This window comes from Homo sapiens, chromosome X (assembly GCF_000001405.40).
Source record: "Homo sapiens chromosome X, GRCh38.p14 Primary Assembly".
Taxonomy (NCBI): Eukaryota; Metazoa; Chordata; class Mammalia; order Primates; family Hominidae; genus Homo; species Homo sapiens.
The window spans coordinates 18,592,471-18,613,571 of record NC_000023.11 but is presented as its reverse complement, the minus strand read 5'-3'; the positions used below and the strand labels follow the sequence as shown (position 1 = coordinate 18,613,571).

The following is a 21,101-nucleotide window of genomic DNA, read 5'->3' as shown; positions in this document are numbered from 1 at the left end:
GTCAACAAAAGGAGACCGCAAAAGTCATCATTCATATCAGAACAACACAGTGGAAAGCGTATCAGGTATTTAATAATCCAGGAGATTTTTTTTCCCTTACATGATATTTAATCTAAATGCCAAACTGGAAAAAAGTTACCAATAATGAAAAATCACATTTTCCTTATTCAATAATTTATCTAGAGAAAAAAAGGCCTAGCAGGAGAAAGGACACTAAAAAGCTCATCCAGAATTTATTTCAACTCTTAAATCTACAATTAAAAAAAGGAAGAGTAAAAACAAACCAAAATGCTCACCATGGATCGAATGCTGGTTGTCTTTTTGAGTGGTTGGTTCCAGAACTGCTCTCTGATGGTAGAGAAGAAACTCTAGTTGACACATTATTTTCATGGAAAGAATTGTCTGGACGTGGAGATGGCACTGAATAAAGAAAAAGTAAGTCACTGATGGACTTTTCTTTTTTTTTTTTTTTTTTTTTAGACAGAGTCTCGCTCTGTCACCCAGGCTGGAGTGCAGTGGCGTGATCTCGGCTCAGTGCAGCCTTGACCTCCCAGGCTCAAGCAATCCTCCTGCCTGAGCCTCCCAAAGTGATGAGATTACAGACATGAACCACCACAGACGGCTGATGTTCTCTTTTGGTCAAAGCAGTTTTCACGTTATCCTACTGCATTTTCTCTAACACAAATAAAACAACAAACAAACATATAAAAATCCTCATCAGCTCTTCACATAACTTTTGTGTTTTCTGAGGGTGAAGGCATTCCAGGGAACCTTGTCCCTCCATCCACTGCTTATGACACTAATTTGCAAGGGTTAGTTAACACCAAGTAATGTGTATTGAAAACAGTAAACTGACCTGCCAGCTGATAAAGTGAAGAACATTATATTTTTTTTCTCTCTCTCTTTTTTTTTTTTTTTAAATAAGAGACTGTTACTCATGCTGGAGTGCAGTGGCACAATCATGGTTCACTGCAAACTCCACCTCCCAGGCTCAGGTGATCCTCCCACCTTAGCCTCCTGGGTAGCTGGGACCACAGGTGCACACCACCACACCTGGCTAATTTTTTGTAGAGACAAGGTTTCACCACGTTGCCCAGGCTGGTCTCGAACTCTCGAGCTCAAGTGATCTGCTCACTTCAGCCTCCCAAAGTGCTGGGATTACAGACATGAACCACCGCGCCCGGCCAGGGTATTTTCAAGTGTGAATCTTGTAGCCCCTACCACCATTCCCTGCCACCGTTTTGGCATTCTTTGAAGTTAAAGCTTTCTTATCATAGACCAACAATGTAAAATCTATTCTTAGTTTGAAGTAATTAATATGTGTGCTGAAACAGACAAACTACAGTTTAAGCCTTGACACTTGGGAGGTAGTATCACTCGTTTTTAAACAAAATTACACAGAAATTTAGCTATTTCTACAAAAATATTATTTTTCTCTAAATTCTAAATGAAAAGAAAAAGATAAAATATAATGTATGTGAATAAATACTTTTCTGCTTTTGGGGGGATAGTTATTAACTTTTTCTGTCAATTTCTAAGAATGGTTATAATAAAAATATACTGGAAATTTTACCACAAAAGGAATATACAGACTGTATATAAAGATAAATGACACAATTTCACTTGACTCTTGACCAATAGGAATGAAAACAGGAAGCATTCTGGAAACATCTGTTATTTCAATGATACCACCAAATCTTCCTCTAGGACTTAGTAGTATCATTGAAATGACAGATGTCTTCAGATGTTTCATCTAGTTAAATATTTTCCTTCTATATCTGAAATTTTTAAAATTAAAACATTCCACCTGCCAAGCTCTCACTACCCTCTCTACTAATGAGGTAGAGACATATGAAGTATTTCTCTGAATTAACCAATTTATTTTTTTTTGCAATCAAAATAAAACCGTGTTTCCAGAGGTCAAAGACTAACTAACTTAAATCTCCATTAGCATTTTATATTAATGTATATTCTCCAGACATCTATAGAAATAACACACCTATGCTACATTTTGGAGGTAATGCTTTGGTGATAGAAGAAAAGGCTTTTGCACATGTATGTTACAATATTTTAATTAAATTAAATCTTAATTAAAAGCTTAGTCCCATAAAATTCTTTTTTTTTTTTTTTTTGTTTTGAGACGGAGTCTTGCTCTGTCGCCTAGGCTGGGGTGCAGTGGCGCGGTTTTGGCTCACTGCAAGCTCCGCCTCCCGGGTTCACGCCATTCTTCTGCCTCAGCCTCCCAAGTAGCTGGGACTACAGGCACCCACCACCACACCCGGCTATTTTATTTTTTATTTTTTTTAGTAGAGACGGGGTTTTGCCATGTTAGCCAGGATGGTCTCGATTTCCTGACCTCGTGATCCTCCTGCCTTGGCCTCCCAAAGTGCTAGGATTACAGGCGTGAGCCACTGCGCCCGGCCAGTCCCATAAAATACTAAAGCGTAATCATGGTATCAGGAAAAATGGCATATTCAATCAATACCTTATGCTTTTCCAAAGGTGGGGCTGGAAGGGAAGGAACAGAGTAGCCTAATCATTAAATATACATTTAGTCCTAAATAACACTTCTGTGCATTTATTTAGCTGGGGTTCCTAATTAAAATGACTAAGCAGTTCTCCATGCCCCCGCCCCAAATCCTGCCCCTTTCCAACTATCCTCTTAAAACAACAGAAATAGTGGGAAGTTAGGCAACATGGGCATAGGAGGCTTTAGAAAGCTGTGGTGACTCTTGAAGGCTTTACAGGCCTCCTGACCCAAGGCCTTGCTCTTGGCCCTGTGGGCTTGCTGTCCATTTTCTCCACCAGGGTGTTGGAATGCCCAAGGGCTTTACAATCTATTACTGCATAGTTACTAAAAGGGATTGCCTTTGTCATTCAATGTCTCCTAAGTTTGTACAACCCCAAAAGCATCTGTTTTAGTTGTCTGCTAAATAACAAAGTACATTTTAGCCCGTGCAAGTACACTTGAAATTTTTCTTTAATTCAATTGACAAATATTTATGAAACTGTGCGAGGCAGTGTACTAGTCAATGAGAATAAAAAGAAGAGAACACGAAGAGAACTGAATGTCTCACAACCTTGTGAGAGAGAACTCAGACAAAGAATCAGTGCAATGTGGTCAGTGTTACATCAGAGTTACAGGCAAGGTACGACAGACAGAACGGAGAAGAAAATGTTTCAGTCCATCTGGAACAAACTGTGGGAAGATATTATACTGAAGAGGACCTTAAAGAAAGGGACAGAAACAAGCTGTTCCAGCAGGAGGAAGAGTACATTACAGGCCAGAGGAGGGCACAGCCTGTGCAGTCCCATAGGCTGGGTACGAGAGAGACCTGGGGGGTGGGGGAGAAAGTGGCTGGAGAGCATGGCAAGGGCCAGATCATGGGAAGTCTGGAATGACATCCTAGAGAATTCAGATTTTGTCCTGATGCCAATGGGAAGCCACCAAAAGACTCTCAACAGGTGAGTGATAGGGGATTAGGAGTAGGGTGGGGTGGGGTGGGCAATGGGATGCCTTGCTCTATTTTTTCCCCCCTTGTAGCACTTAATATCTTTTACTGCTCTATATAATTATTATGTTTAGTGTCCATCTCTCCTCCCGAGGAAGTGAGTTCCGTGATGGTGAAGATCTTTGACTATCTTGTTCACCAACAAGTTCTAAGCCAGAACAGTGCCAGACACACAGGTAACATCAATAAGTATGTTATGGCTTGACAGAACAAAATGAGTGGTATGGTCAGAACACAGCTTCAGAAGGATCACTCTAGTCTCTATATTGATGGGTACCTTGGAGATAGGGAGACCAGTTAAGAGGCTACCTAAGGAGGCCAATTCATAAGCCAGGAGGGCCTGACTTAGCAGGAGCAGAGGCAGGGAGAACCGCTGGAAGGCGACAGTGTAGGTGAGAAGGCCGCTGGCCTGAGTCGGTGAAAGCAGTGTGCACATAAAGTGAGAGAGGGAGGAGAGGGGAACCTGTTGAATGCCGGGGGTGGGCTTACCTCTGTAAAAGCTACCAACTCTCCTTGGCACAGGATCATTGTATAGGTGTCTATTTTCTTTGGGGGCTGTGCCATCATCAGAGTGTGGGTCATGATACACTCCACCCTGAGGCAGGAAAGAAATTTATAAAAGTTAAGCCACACATTGATGACAATATTGCCTATGACTTTTTTCTTGAGACAGGGTCTCACTCTATTGCCCAGGCTGTAGTGCAGTAGTAGGATCATGGCTTACTGTAGCCTTGACTGCCCCAGTTCAAGCAATCCTCCTGCCTCAGCCTCCCGAGTAGCTGGGACTACAGGCACACGCTGCTACACCCAGCTAATTTTTTAAACTTTTTGTAGAGATGGGGTCTTGCTATGTTGCCCAGGCTGGTCTTGAACTCCTGGACACAAGCAATCCTCCCACCTCAGCCTCCCAAAGTGCTGGGATTACATGTGTGAGCCACCTGGCCCAAATTTAGAACCGTACCTAATCAATCTATAATTGACTTAATGATCTTTTTGAAAGAAAACTCAGAATTATGCCACAAGGAAAACTACTTACTTTATAAGCCACTTCAACTTATTTGTGGGAGACTGGGTATTAATACATTTTAAAAGCTAGGCAGTAATGATGTTGAACAAATGTTTACAGGCATATTTTATTGTGACATACCTCAGACTTCTGGCGTGTATGGAAGGAAGAGGTGCCTTCTCTGGAGGTCTCTTTGACCGAAGATCTTGCCACAGTCATCTCTGGAGGGAGCTGTTCTCCAGGCTGGAAGTAAAATTTAAAAGGATTTATAAGAGCATCCTGTTCCTAGGGATGGAACTCATCATGGCCTTTATTTGGTAGAACTAGGACCATAACCAGCTAAAATAAAAAATGTTAGTTGGCTAAAATACAAATAGTCCCATAAAAGTGAATAATCTGATGAATGTAATATAAGTCAAATTTCACACAGATGGAAAGTAAAATTCTCATTAAAGTTAAGGCAAGCAGAGAACAAATTAGTCTGAAAATAGTTCAATTAATTATTAAAAACAAAAAAAATTACCATTCTAATATCTAGACAGTCATGGTTCTGAGCGGCCCTCTGATTAGGAATTCTATTAGTTTATCTGAAATTTCTCTAGCAGATTTTAAGTCTGAGTTCTCCAAAATGAACTGTGCAGTTCCAAAAGTATATTTCATGCAGGACTTATATGGCAAAGTCAGATGAAAATAAATGATTTTTGAATATATCAAGGAATAGAGTAAGTCCTTTTAATAATTTTTTGTGTTAAAATCCTCTTAACTACTATAGTTTATGTGCTTAAATTCTTGTCTTAATCTTCTCTAGGATAACAGCACTTATGTTTCATGTATTTTCTGAAGCCAAATCATGATAGTGCTCATCTCCAAAGACATACCACTATCTTTCTCTCTCAAGGAAGTGAGTCACAAGCTAAGAACAGTACTCGGTCCACAATGGTGTTCACCGAGGGGAAAAAACACAGCATTTTCTATCATCAGAAAAAAAGATTAAGGAAGAAAATTACCAAGTCATTAGAAGGAGTTCGCTGCATCGTATATCTGTATATTATGCACAGAAAAGGGCATTACCTTAAGCCTATGTGACATATCAAAAACATTTTATTTAAGATTTAAAATATGATTATTTTTCTCCCTCTCATTCTCCAAATGTACTCTGAGGATTCTGGGCAGGAATTCATCCAACATAGCCTTCCTTCTTTCTATTTTATGAAAATGTCTCATTTGACTTTTACCACCTGTACTGTTTACAAAGGCCTCTACAAAAATTATTTTAAGAAAACAAATTATTAACATCTAATATAAACTCAGTAAGAGTCTCTGTGCTTTTCAAGGTGGCCCGATACTTTGCATGGGAGTGATTCCTAGGATTCACTCACAGCTTAAGTTACTTTTCCAGCCTTCTGGTATCTTTGTGCTTTTAAACTTGTACTTTCTTGCAGCTGGGCACTGTACCTCCTGAACTGGCCTTCACAGTCTGTAACAGATCTGTGCTTAGCCCACAGTAACTGTTTATAATTCGTTTATGACCACCATGTTCACAAAAATTCTTTTCCTGGAATTCTCAGAGAGCAATTACTTTTTCTAAGTTAAAAAGCTATTTGTTTTTCCGATTTCTTCTCCATTTTATACCATGCTGAATGCTAGCACATTTTACCCAATTTTCCCTTCCATGTCTCCTCTGCAGGAAGCTGCCAGATCTTTCTAGGCTCTGGAGGTTCTTTCTCCCGACAGCATCTCCTCAGGGCTCCTCTGACCATTCCTCTGACTCCACTTCCAGCCTCTGCAAATGGGCACCTCTTGCTTTCTCCTTTCACCTGGGTGCCAGACCATCTTTTTAGCCTCTTAGAGCACACTTCTGCTTAGAGGCCAAGGTCACTTCAAATTCAACATGTCCGCAAGACACCAGTGGCAAGCAGCTGGCCTCAGCACCTGGAGCTTGCCTCATAATCCCAGCTCCATCCTGAGCTGGTTGGGTAAACTTGGAGCAACTCACCCAACTTCTCTGAGCTTCGACATGCTCATCTGTGAAATGAAGGGGTTGAATTAGGTGACTTCAAAACTACTCTCTTTCACTCCAAAAAGGAGGTCCTAGAAAAGAAACCATGAAGTCTTCCTTTTTCCTATATTCAATCCTTCAAATCACAAATCCTATTGTTTCTACTTCTGAGGAGTAGAAGATCCACTCCGTTTCCCACTGGCACTGACTTAATCCCAAACATATTCTCTTCACCTCGTGCTTGAATTATTGCAAAAGCCACTCCAAATTTTGCATTTTTCACTCCAGCAAAGTGGAACAAGTTGCAATGCCCAAAGCATACCATGCTATGTAACATCTGTTACCTTCCTTCTCCTTCCAATGCTCTTTTCTTCCCTCTTTCCTGAGGTCACTGTCACTTTCTTCCCAACCTTTCTGGAAGTCTCTGCTCAGGTGCCACCTGTTCTAGGAGCTCCCACAACTCACAACTTGGACTGTCTCGCTCCCTTGCCACACTGGCATGCCTCTAGCACAGTAGCCAGAATGTAACCTCACAGTAGTGGAACAACTTATCTGTTGACAAGTGTCCCCTGCCAGCCCACACACTTAAGACGACAGGGAACCTATTCTTTTCATCTTTCTAGCTAGAGCTTTTCATGTTGCCTAGCTCAGGACGTACCTGAACATACCTTCACTCTTCAGCCAATTCAAAGCTTGTCTATACATCCTAGCCCAGAGAAAGACCTTCAGTTGCCTGTAAAGCCATTTCTAACTGCTTCTGCTCACAATGACCTCTCTCTATTCTCAGTTCCTATTTATAGCCAGTGCCATATTGACTTAGGTCTTACTTATTTCATTGTGTGTTTGTGTGTGTGTGTGTGTGTGTGTGTGTGTGTGTGTGACAGTCTTGCTCTGTCACCAGGCTGAAGTGCAGTGGCACGATCTCGGCTCACTGCAACCTCCACCTCCTGGGTTCAAGCGATTCTAGTGCCTCGGCCTCCTGAGTAGCTGGAATTACAGGCACACGCCACCACGCCCAGCCAATTTTTGTATTTTAGTAGAGACGGGGTTTCACCATGTTGGCCAGGATAGTCTCGATCTCCTGACCTCGTGATCTGCCTGCCTCGGCCTCCCAAAGTGCTGGGATTACAGGCGTGAGCCACTGCACCTGGCTACTTATTTCATTGTTATCATGTATCAGTTTATCTTCCCCAAGAGCAGGTAAGTTTCTCAAGTGCAAGAGCTCTCTCAGACTCTTTTGAGTGCCTGGGAACACCCAGCATAGAAAAGGTGTTCAATGTCCAAATATCAGCCTCCACAATCACAGAAGCAGCAAGAATAACTAAAATTTGTTAGACACTTACTTTGTGCCAGGCACTGGGCACAGTACTTTATAGATGAAATCATGATAACATTATTTTTAAAACATGCTCTACTGTAAGAATGCTACTTCTTGTTTTTTTTGTTTTTGTTTCTGTTTTTGTTTTTGAGACAGAGTCTCGTTCTATTGCCCAGGCTGGAGTGCAGTGGTGTGATCTTGGCTCACTGCAGCCTCTGCCTCCCAGGTTCAAGTGAAGGAATGCTACTTCTTTTAAGCAGGTTAGGTCAGTTCTAGAGTTTGACGATGAATAAGATGGAGGAAGCATTATGCTAAAAATGCTGTTTTAAGATTTAAAAACAATCCAAAAGACTGAAAACTAACATTTATCCTGGTATGAAGTTAAATTTATCTGTAGTTCTGGACAAATTTAAAACTTTTAAATTCAGTTAAAATATTGAGTAAGGTACTAGCAAAAGCTTTTGATTTAAGCAAATGTGGTTTGGAGAGATCAGAGAAAATACCCATGAATTCACACTGTATTTTAAGAAAAACTAAAACCTAACTGATACAGCTGATGAATTCTGTAATAAATCAAAATAGGATTCTCTCAACAAAATATTCCAGAAAAGAACATTTAAGAAAAAAAAAAAGATCACTAAAAACAAAATTTGACTTTTCTTGAGTACTCAACGGTTGATCTAAATAGATTTAAAAAACAAAAAACAAAAAAACAGAGATTAGGCCAAGTATTGCTTCCCTAAATGCATCCTATCAAGAAAAGCACAACCTCCTGTAGTAGGGAAAATAGTAGATGGACCCTCATCACATCCCTCGTACCACCTTCCCCTGAAGGGCCACCAGATTCAGTCAAGGTGCTCAACTGTACCTGGGGTGACAAGAGTTGCAGGCTGTTGGCTCTAGCTGCCATCCCTTGCCCTATGCTCAAGCTTCCATCCAAGCCCTTGGCTCTCACTTTGTCACGGGTCACATACATAGAATGCCTATGAGGACGTTGCTGGGAAGAAAAGGGGCTGGTGTAGCCCAGTCCATAAGAAAAAGATTCGTGAGGTGCAGACAGTGAATGGGAATGGCTACTGTCCATGTGCTCCGGCAGCTTCAATTCCTCCATCGTCTTAGAATGTCTGGTTGTGGTTCGACGTGAGTCCAGCGTTCCCTCATTTCGGTTATTTCTTCCAGAAGGGCTGAGCAAAGTTCTCGTGTCACTGTGTCTGGTGGGGGTTGGGCTGGTGGGAGAATTCAAGTCTAAGCAGCTAGATGGGAAGTACCTACTGGTACTGGGCTCCGCAATTTGGGCCCTGGCTTCAGAAAGGTTGCTCACAGACTTGGAGTCACTCAGTGCCCCATGGCTTTTGGCCTTGGTCCTGTAGGAGGGACTCCTAGAGGACTGGGGAATTGTGTCAATATAGCTATGCCGACTCTGCTTTTCATTGGGCTGCAGTGTCCCAGCTTTGCTTTGAGAGCTTTCCATGAATGAGTGGCGGTTCTGCTGAGATCTGCTGTTTGACTTGAGGTACTTTGTCCCTGGGCCTTCTGAAGGCTTTGGGTCAATATTAAAATCAAACTCTGTTTTTGACTTGGCTTCTTTTGGGCTAAGAAGGTGTGGTATGTTGTTGTTGGTGAGATCTTTGCTGGTAGACCCAGGCTGGCTGCTTGCTTGGTAGGTTTTGGTGTGCAGTGGACTAAGACTAGCTCCAGCAAGGTTTCCATTTAGGAAGCTTTCATTGGCAGGGAGACCTTCGTCAGCCCGGGGCAGGCCTACACTCAGGTTCTGGATGTCCTTGCTGTTAGATCTGTGGTGAGACTGCAAAGCAGTACTTTTGCCGGCTTGGTTTCTATGTTAAAAACAAAAGAAGTATATCAGTTTCCCTCAATAGCTGACACACAAAAAGTATTGTTAAAAAGAAAGAACAAATACTCAAAACACCTGGAAGACTAAAAACATTAATTCTCTCAAGCATGTGCCTTCGAATAACAAGTAACCTATCAACAGCAATTAAGTTTCTTAGACCAACTCACTCTGTAACAAAGCACTGGCCTTGATGAAATTATTCTGGCACTGCTAAATGCTCAGCTAACTTGCTGTCAAAACAGTTTCTAAATGATAATCTGGTAAAACATACTCTCATTATATTGGTACTCATATGAGTGTTTGTGATAGAATGACTGCTAAGAAGAGAGCTGAGCTATAAACTCTTTATAACTCTTTTGTCTGCTTGAATGTCAGAAGACAACATTTAGACTTAAAGGTTACTATGTTTCTTGAACTTCATTTTTATTTGTAAAACTTGTAGCCTGCCTCAGAGATACATACTCACAGCACATACACAGACACCAATGTCTCTTCTGCCTGCATAATCAAAGAATGAGAATTCTAGCAATGTACTTAATAAAAGAAAATGACCCTCTAAAAAGAAATGTAAACTGTCCAGTGAGGTTTGTTGGAAAACATGATGATCAATGTTTATGTCTTGGAGAAGTGGCAATTACTTGGGGCTCTTCAGATATCTCTTTGTACAGTAAACAGGAATCCTGTACTATACCGGATTACAGAGATCTGAAAGAGTTCGTTTCTCTCCAAAAGACACAATTATTCTCTTTTTTATTTAACATTTCATTATCCTAGACCGACTGAGCCCTCCTTTAGGACTTAAAGCTTCATTTCACACTTGGTTTAAAATACAAAATATAAATCCAGAGGAAAATCTTGTCCTCTATTTGAAAGCTGAAACTGACACCATAGCAAGGCCAGTTTGTGCTACTGTAACTATTGAAAGGATCTAATTGTAGTTTGGGACAGACTAGAATGTTTAAAAATGAATAATGATTTACACAATTCTGGTTTTACTATGCATTCAAAAAATTTTGCTGCAAATATTGCTATTGCTACAGATGGTTTGATTTGGGAGAGTTTTGTTCCCATGACACACTAATTGGAAGTCACTTTTTTTTGTTCATGTAGAATGGTAGTCTGTGAAGCTCTGACTTCCAATTTTCCCCATGAGAACCTGCATGCTCAGCCATTAAATAACATAAGGACCCATTTCCTAGTCTACCTTTCAGTCAGTAATCTCTGCCAGAAAGCTACCTGAGAGTGTCAAAAAAGAAAAAAAAATCTGATATCGAGCAAGCCTGTGACAGTGTGGGGGGCCTCATCTCTTGAATGTACTCACTAATCTCTTCCAGTTAGGTCATTAGAATTACAGCATTAAATAAAAGGACTCCTAAATATGAGCACTAAAATGGCAAAGCCCAGACCTAGAAAGGAATTACAAAGAAAAAAATGCTAAGTTTCACTTTCTGTTAAATTATATTAACAGAGTCTATCCCCAGATCAATAAAGTCCCTATATCCTAAAGGCATCAGGTTTTAAACCATTGAGTTGTTTGCCAACTTATATCTTGGTAACTGAAATATCTCAGCGACTTTTCAAACCTAAATAGTGATAGACTGTCTCATCCACAAATAGATCTAAGTGTGTTGGTTATTCTCCATTTGCCCAACCTCCAATCCGTCCTCCACCCCCATGAGCCCGGCCCTGGGCCTCAGGAACCCAATGCTGCAGATTGTCACCCACGCTTCCTAGCCAGCTAGCTTCTGGTTGGGCTTAGCAGTGGAAGGCATCACAAGACAAGAGGAGAGAGGGGCTGGGGGATGTCTTCCCTGCTCCTTCCCTGCAGGCATCTGCACCCTGACTCAGATCGTGGCTGTGTCCTTCTAGATGACAGCTTCTACAGGGTGGCTCTTCCTACCCAGGTCCAGCTCTCCCTGGACTCTCAGAACCCTATTTCATCCCCATTCCCCTTCAGGCCTAGAAATAGTAATCGTAGACAGATAACATGTACAGATATTGGGAAACGTCCTCAGCTCACAAAGACCATAAAGGGACAGAGAACAGCAAAGGCAGCTGCTTGAGCCTTTGGAACTCTTAGAAACACTGTTAGCGACGTTAAGCAGAAACGTACATGTGGATCTTAGAAAGAACACATTCAGAGCAACGTAAGAGACAATTCTAACATGAAAAGAGAGGTTATCCAGTTAAGGTAAAACGTGTCAAAGCTTTAGGTTTTCCATAAGTGTACAAAGAGCCTAAACTGCCATTCTGAGTGTTTGTGTCTTAGGATTAGTTGGAAACCACTGAGCTTTGCACATAACGCCTATGTGGAAAGGGCATCATACTCCCTTTGCATCGGAGCTCTGCCAAAGTGCAACAATAAAAAACAGCTTTGAAAATTCCATAGATCTCTTCGACACACAACTGTAAGGAATCTGTGTTAAACTGCCAACTAGTTAAAAAAATTTTACATACAAACTCTTCTTAAATGGTTGCAGAATGGATGGATGGATGGATGGATAGATAACGATTTAGTTAAAGTAAGTTTTAAAAGCAAATGTCGAAGGTGCAAAGCTACACTTTGATGGAGAAGGCTGGTGAAGGACCAGGAGAGTGGCAGTATGGGGCAGCTGATGCACCATTGCACCGTGTCCATGGTGGGCAGAACCTCAGGAGAGCCTGAGGGAGATAGCCAGGGGCTAAGTAACACAAGAGTCCACTGCCTCTCCTAGAGAGAAAAAATTTAGAAGACAAGGTATGCAACAGCATGTTTGTGTCTCCAGAGACAAGGCAGGGGAGTTTGTACGTGGCAACCAATGTGATATGGTGCTGTGAGCATCTCTAAAATGGTCCTGAGAAGTCTTAGGGAGCCATCGTTTGTGTTGAGATTCAAGCTAGAATTAATGTCTCTAACCAAAAAAGCATCCATGGAATAAGTATGGACCATAGACCAGTGTGGAGCAAAAGCCCTCAGATATATGTAAAATGTGGTAAGATCATTCCTAGAAAAATCATGTAAGACTTTTTCTTTAATATATTCAATACAGTGTCAAGACCTGAAAATGATTCTTCCAGAGATTTTAAATTCACTTATAATTTCTATTCTCCTCTATTTCAAAAGGGGACTTGGGAGGACTCCTCAAGGACCCAAACAAATCATATCTTCTGTATCTGCTGAAAACATCATCACCAAGCACATCCTCCTTAACAGATCCCTAAAGAGGTTCCCGAGGAGAGCCTCAGGTCCCCACTGGTTAATTCCAAGAACTCTGTCTCTCAAGTGAGTCACTAGAAGACAAATACACAGCCTCTTTTCACAGTATGGGTTATATCACTAATCACTATAGCACAAATCAAAAACTTATTATCAGTCTACTGGACTTTATATCATTGGGATAATTTTTCGGTGTAAACTAAAGGAGCTAAGAGACAATTAAGGTAAAAAGGAGATAAAAGCACCTGAACTGAGAGTAACCCCAAAGAAGACACAGGACTAATTTGCACCCCCTAAATGCAAAGGAGCAACCAAATGATGACTACTATTCCTTGACTTAGTGTCCTAAAAATTTCATGGCAACAAACAAAGAAAGCCAGCTAAGAAAGGTCTATAAGATGTGAGGGGAAACAAACTGAAACCAGTCATTTTCAAGAAGAGTAAACAGCTCTAAAACACAATTATACTATCACAGTTAAGCAGAGAAAACATACGATAAATGGTCATCATCAGTTTATGGATGCTCTCCCAGACCTAAATAGTACCAGATCTTGAGCTTTTAAAAATCTGATCTATTAAGAACAACTGATTGGCCAGGTGTGGTGGCTCACCCCTGTAGTCCCAGCACTTAGGAAGGCTGAGGCAGGCGAATCGCTTGAGCCCAGGAATTCTCTACAAAAGATAAAAAATTAGCCAGCCATGGTGGCACATGCCTGTTGTCCCAGCTACTCAGGAGGCTAAGGTGGGAGGATCGCTTGCCAGGAAGGCAGAGGCTGCAGTGGGCCATGATTGCACCACTGCATTCCAGCCTGAGCAATCGAGCAAGACACTGTCTCAAAAAAGAACAATGGTTCTATATGGATGGAAAATTTGGGGTTGCAGGTGGGAAGAAAATTTATATTAAAAAACCTTCATATTAGGAATTATTGTTTTCAGCCAGATGCTATGGCTCATGCCTGTAACTCCAGCACATGGGGAGACTGAGGCAGGAGGCCTGTTTGAGGCCAGGAGTTTGAGACCATCATGAGCAACACAGTGAGACCCCATCTCTACAGAAAATTTAAAAAATTAGCCAGGCATGATGGCATGCTCCTATAGTCCCAGCTACTCAGGAGGATGAGGTGGGAGGGAGGCTTGAGCCTGGGAGTTCAAGGCTGCAGTGAGTTATAATCATGCCACTGCTCTCCAGCCTAGGCGACAGAGCAAAGGCCCTGTCTCTAAAAAAACTAAAAAATAAAAATAAAGAATCATTGTTTTCTATTTATCTTGTAATAGTAGATGAGAGAAACTATTTCCTATCTTCCATAATCCAACGACCCCAGATGACAAGATCAGCCTCTTGGGAGATGAAGGAAAACAGGGAGACCATGACTAGGACACTGTCCTCTTGGACATGCAACCAACAGAATTGAGGAATGTCAGGTCTGAAAGACAACCTGATTGTATGGCCCAAATCCTGTGTGTGTGTTTTTCAGGAAACAGGCTTTGAAAAAATTATGCTGAAAAATAATATTTAAAGAGCAACAATTTTAATCACTGACTTTACTATTTCCATATTCTTATTCTTATGAAAAATTAATTTCTCAACTCAATGATTAGAAGACAAGAGCAACAAAAACACAAGACCTCTCTGTAGAGCCAGACCTATTTGGTCCAGTCACAAAGATTACACTAGGTACATTTCCATCCACCATCTGTGTTTGGCATCCTCTTCTCTCTCCAGGAATCCCCTTGCCTTCACCCAGCTTTCTTCCTCCGGGTATCACTGATGGGTTTCATTCACACAGAATATTCTAGCTCTTGAGGCTGTAAACCCCCTTAGTTGCTAACCCAATGCTACCTTTCCCAGGGAATGCATAGGTTTCCATCATATACTAGTTAAAGATAAGAAAGTCTTTAAGACCCACACAACTCCTTAATTGTGGTTCTGAATCATGCAATAAGCATAAGGAAGATATTTTTGAATAAAGAGGGCTTTCCTTCTTTTCTCTAATTGCATCATTTAAGCAGCCACCTCCTCCACCTACTTGTAAGACCAACACTGCATCTGTATTTCCTTAAAAGGGAATATTTACCTATTAGACAATGTGCTGCTTTCCACATGGTAAGGTTTTCTTTTTGCTGACCTTGAAGGAGAACGATCCAGAAGTCTCTGGGTTTGAAATGTAGGGTGATTCAAACACTGTTCTGTCAAGTATCTGTCAGCTGGGTCCAACTTCAGTAAATTCTTAGGAAATAAAATTTAGGATCGTTAAGAACATTACAAAGTCAAATTTAAGTTCTAATAAAAACCTTATTTTTTTCCTTATAAAAGAAATACACAGTCATTGCAGAATATCAAGTAAACACAGTTCAGGAAATAAAAAAAAAAAGACTATCTAAATCACCTATAATCTCATCATCATTTTCCTCTTTGTATATATGATCCCAGCCCTTTTTTGAATATCCTATATACATATTTTCTTTTACAAAATATACACAGTTTTGTATCCTGCACTTATCATTAATCAAAATCACTTTTACAATATAATTAAAAAATTTAAAGTACACTTTTAATTAAGTAGATATTCACTTGAAAGAATATACATTCTTAATCTTTCTCTTATCCCCCAGATACCCAGTTCCCTTTTCTGGAGGCAGCCTAGGTTACCAGTTTCTTAGGCATCCTTCCATAGATATTCCCTATACATATCTCTACCTGTTCCTTTTATTTTACCCACATAGTAGTATACACATAATTGCCTGAATTTAGCTTTCTTCCCACTTGACATAAGATCCTAAGAAATAATTCGGGGCCAGGTGTGGTGGCTCACGCCTGTAATCCCAGCACTTTGGGAGGCCGAGGCAGGAGGATCATCTGACGTCAGGAGTTCGAGACCAGCCTGACCAGCACGGTGAAAACCCGTCTCTACTAAAAATACAAAATTAGCTGGGCGTGGTGGCTCATGCCCGTAATCCCAGCTACTCAGGAGGCTGAGGTAGGAGAATTGCCTGAACCTGGGAGGTGGAGGTTGCAGTGAGCTGAGATCACACCATTGCACTCCAGTCTGCACAAGAGTGAAACTCTGTCTCAAAAAAAAAAAAAAAAAAAAAAAAATCATTCTGTAGCAGCAAAGAGCCTCAACTCTAATTTTTTGGTTTTAAAGTTTCTTCTTTTACATTTTTTTAAAAGTTTCATAAACTTTTAAGTTCAGTACTTGGAGGGAAAACGTTTTTTAAGACTAAAATAGAGCCAATATAATTACTACAGCTAGTCTTAAGGTTATTAGGGGCTTGAATTAATTTTGGTGACCTGTACCCCCACTAAATTGGCTGACAGGATGAGATGGCCATTTTAGGTACTTAGATGTGGACAAAATTAACACGGCAGCTTTAGAGAATGGCAAAGAGAATATTTCTCTTTGAAATATTCAAAGAAGGGATAATTGGTATTTTTCATTTTTCAAATTCATTTTCAAAAAAAGCTAAAAAACAAAAGGAATGATTCTATTTATATAACATTTGATAATAAGGCAATACTAATCTTTGGTGACAGAAGTCGGAACTGGTTTCTGAGGGGGGTGGGGTGGCATAAAGCCTGGAAGGGGGCATAAGAAGGCTTCCAGGGTGTTAGTAATTTTCTCTATCTACATCTGGGTAGAGTTACACTAATATGTTTACATTATAAAAAGTAACTGACATATAGATACAATTTGCGCACCTTCTGAAAGGACATGTCAATAAAAATATTTACTTAAAGAAATCTGATGGTAAAGATATTAAATAAATAGGAATTTGAATGTTTAACTTCTAAACTGGCAGAAGCACAGGATGATTCGGGTAATCTTTCTACTTTTATTTGTGCTAGCTTTTAATCTGGTACCACACTGATGCTTGGCAATTATATTTGGTAATGATTTAACAAAAACATTCAATTATTTTTAACTAAAGAAAGATGAAAGGCAGAAAACATGAAATTGTATTTAATTCCATGTTCCTACTTTATTCTATTCACATTTTAGAAGTTACCAAATTATTGAGGTCCCAATCCATGAGGACTGACTGTGTGAAAAAGTGTATTGACAAAACCTACCTGATTTAAGTGATAATTTATGACTAATTAAACAAAAGGCTTTAAGGGTTCTTTTTTGCCAGTAGCATTTCTCAATCTGTATTCAGAAGAACACTAGAGCTTTAGAGTTTTATAAAAAACAGTATTCAGTATTTAATTAAATTTGGAAAATATTGGGTAAGACAGAAATGCCTCTTTATTGTGATATTTCTGAAAGCCTTTATGGATTAATGAATATTGTGCATCTCTACAAAAGGTTGTATGGTATGTGGCCTTTCCGAAACGTCACACCCTCCTCCCCCACCTCCACCCCCACACCTATGTACACTATGTTCCCTGGAACACAGATTAACATAGTTTAAAGCACGGCAAAGTTCTGAGAATGCCACTCAGAAATTTCCGACTGTGCTAAGTATGCCTTTTAAAGGCTCTATGCACAGTGTAACCTCTACTGATTTTGACAGTTGACTGACTGGGCATAAAATAAAATTGATCCATTAATAAGTGTTCTTTGAAGGTCTACTATCAAACAACCAACACTTGCTTATGCACTTCTGGCTGCAGTGAAAGCTGGAGAAATATGAAAAACAGTTCCCACTCAAGGAGCCGACTGTCTACTGGAGAAAAAAAAATAAACTTGAATAAAGAAATTTGAGAATGCTTTTAGAGTATAGAGCAGGAAGACTTCTGGACAGGGAGGGTAGCATAAGGAAGAACACTCAGGCCACAGCATTAGCAATGATCCTGATACGTCTAAAGTAGAGCCAGAAAGAGTCTGGGAGAGAAGAGACCAAGTTAGAAAAAGAGAAAAATTAGATTCACTGATCAAATCTGTGTAGGCGATGGGAGGCTTCAAATACCATGTCAGAAAAAATTGTTGAATTTCTTCTTTCAACATTGATTTTAAGATTTGTTTTAAAACCTTATGCTTGAACAGCTCTTGCATGCTAACAGATTTTTATTATTCTGTCCATTTTAAGAATGTCATTTAGGGGTCTCATGATTCTGTCTAGATGGACTGTGACAATACCAGATCCCATTGTAATTTTAAATAAGTTACATGCCTTTTAATATGACATAGTTCCCCATTATTTGCCATTCCACATCTCCTAAAATTTCATTCATAAAAGCAGGCTATGGTCACATGTAGACACAAAAGAATCCACAAACCAAAAGACATTTTATAGAGATAATATCAATTGGCCTTACCTTCATTAGGTCAAGTAGAACACTATTCAAAATTCCAAGGTATCTTCTTTCCAAGGACTGAGGATGGTTAACAGCTGGAAACTGTGAGACATACACAAAGGGAATGTTAACATTTGGGGAAGGACATGTGTGTGCACGTGCTTGTGAGTGTTGCAGAAGGGAGCAGATAAGCAAAAATGCCAATCCCAGTCAAATTCATACTTGTATATTACTTTTGTTGTCTATGTATTTTTTTTTGTTTGTTTTTGAGACAGAGTTTCATGCTGTTGCCCAGGCTGGAATGCAATGGTGCGATCTGGGCTCACTGCAACCTCTGCCTCCCGGGTTCATGCGATTCTCCTGCTTCAGCCTCCTGAGTAGCTGGGATTACAGGCACCTGCCACCACGCCTGGCTAATTTTTTGTATTTTTAGTAGAGCTGGGGTTTCACTACATTGGCCAGGCTGGCATCGAACTCCTGACCTTGTGATCTGCCCGCCTCAGCCTCCCAAAGTGCTGGGATTACAGGCGTGAGCCACCACACCCGGCCGTCTATGTATTTTTATATGGATTACTACGACTGGGTGTCAAATAATAGGAAAACTCACAGGTGAAAGATGATACTTAAATCTAGGCAGACAATACTAAGGCATGTGAAACAAACTAAAATATAAAAATTTGAACTAATTATGCAGTAAAATAGAATATCATCTGATTATAAACAATTCAGTTTTAATACAGTGTATACATAATTTGTCTGCTTATACACATGATTCTTAATTACTGATAGTAATTGAGGGTCTAGCAGAAAGGATATGATAAGACATTAGATAGAATCCTTATAGCTTTTTAACAACAACATACCATTTACTTTTGAAAACATAGAAGTAAAAATAGAGAGAAAGTAAGTGGCCAGTACCTAAAAGGTCACAGAAGTAGAGAGTGAATTCAGACACACATTCTGTCATCGCTTTTAATATGCTCTTACAATGACCTGTTTTCAAATTCTTCCTTTTTTAAAGTTGGAACCGAAGACAAACAGGTTCCTAGATTAACAAATGCATTTTTAAATAAAATGAGGGGAAGGGGTCAAGTTTATTTAGATGTGCTTTTTGTTCTTTCCTCTGCCAACTCACATTCTGCAATATCTAGTGGATGTTAAAGTATTGGGTAATATGACTGGCAGAGCCCAATGCCATGTACTCCCTTCCAAATGTCAGGGCTAGTCTGCTTCCATACATTATTTCCTCTATACCAACATACAAGCATTTCTAAGTACCGAAATCCCTAAACATGCTAAATAAGTAAATGGGAGGACTAATTATACAGTAAAATTTCAAACAAGATATTTAAGGAGTGATTATGACATCATCTCCACACCATGCTCTGGATAGCAGGAGACAAAAAATACAGGTAAGACCCAAACCCTGCTCTTGAGGAATCTGCTGTCTGGTTGGGAAAGCAATCAATGTTAAACTGTGCAACCATAAATTCTAATTGAAGCTCAGAGAAAGGAAAGACCAAGATGGTTTATGGCTGTGGAAGAAAGAACCCATAGGTAATATCTGAATTGGGTTTTGAAAAATATGAAAAATGTGAAGACAGAGAAAAGTAGGACAGCACCTTCCAGATAGAGGAGTAGAAGGAATAACATGAACTCAATACAGATGCACAGGCAATAACCTAAAACTGATTTCTGAGGGAAGTGATGTTATGCGAGGCATTTTGGATATATTATTCTTATTTTAGAGATGAAGAAGGTGACAATCAGAAAGTTCAAATAACTGGTTCAAGGCAAGTTACATAATTAAACAGCAGTAGAACTAGTATTTGCACCCAGTCTTGTGATCCAAACCCACACTCTTTCTAAACCTAGGTGCCTCTCCTAAGGGAAGTACAGAGGCTCCCTTCGATGTTACTGGAGCATTAAATATCAGCCCAAATAGAAAGACACCTACCATGCTGTGATAAAAGACCCTATACCAGTACATGTTAATATTTTGTGTATGAGGTCTATCTTATGCTACCAGATACCCCCTTATTTTTTCTAGGAGTGAAATTTCATTGATAAGAAAATTAATGCTGAAAGTCGAAAGGTATTAGAAATATTATAATAAAAAATGACCAAGCAAACTCCTAACTTCAAAGAATTAATTTACATGCGTTTGAGTGAGACCTACCATTCTAATATGAAATAATTCAACAAATAGCCAAAACTCATGCATAGAAGTTTAAAGTATATCTCAATCAGTCTTGTCTCTTTCTGAATCACTTGGCCAATCCAATACAATCCAATGAGAATGCCTCTTTGCTGAGCACTATGCGTGAGGTTCTGGTCTAGACATTTTACAAATAATATTTCATCTTTACACCAATCCAATCAGGCAGTCTTTTGGTTATCATCATTTTACACAAGAAGAAACAGAGGCACAGGATGGTGAAATAACTTCCTGGCATCATTCAAAATAGTAAATACGGAACCAGGCCTTGAACCACAGCAATCTAACTCCAGAGCCTAGGCCCTATACTATGGGGCATCAATTGTTACTTTATCCCAATAATGCAAACCACTATAGCAACATCTTGTAGATTTTCCTGTCTCTACACAACTAACTTCAAATGCACATCACACTGGACTGGTTACTGGTGAGTCCATGGTGCACAGCAGATGCAGTTTACATGTCCCATGTGCTTAGCTATCTGTCATAGACATTTTCAAATAACATCATGAAAGAAAATTTCTCCCTCAAAAGATATTGTCAAGCCTCCAAAGAGATTAAACTAATTTAGTTAAAACACCACAAACACTTTCAGACTAAAATGTAAAGTATTAAGGTTTATAAAAGTCAAAGTGTGATGGAGGCAGCAATTTCCCTGAAGGATGTTTGTAAGCAGCATTATCACACGCTGTCTAGAATTTTATAGACAGTATTGTTTAGGGAAGAAGACTATGAACAAACAGGACCACAGACAAATGAGA

At 39.9% G+C, this 21,101-nt stretch overlaps 1 protein-coding gene across 3 annotated transcripts in view; it reads right to left on the bottom strand.

Moving 5' to 3' along the window:
* CDKL5 (cyclin dependent kinase like 5) overlaps positions 1-21,101 on the bottom strand; it is a 228,022-nt gene that overhangs the window by 40,058 nt on the left and 166,863 nt on the right. For all 3 annotated transcript variants that reach the window (NM_003159.3, NM_001323289.2, NM_001037343.2), the window contains 6 exons: positions 18,144-18,224; positions 14,959-15,110; positions 8,704-9,670; positions 4,660-4,761; positions 4,002-4,107; positions 297-420 (listed from right to left, as the gene is read on the bottom strand). In NM_003159.3, the coding sequence (NP_003150.1) occupies positions 297-420; positions 4,002-4,107; positions 4,660-4,761; positions 8,704-9,670; positions 14,959-15,110; positions 18,144-18,224 (1,532 nt within the window). The remainder of the gene's footprint in view (positions 1-296; positions 421-4,001; positions 4,108-4,659; positions 4,762-8,703; positions 9,671-14,958; positions 15,111-18,143; positions 18,225-21,101) is intronic.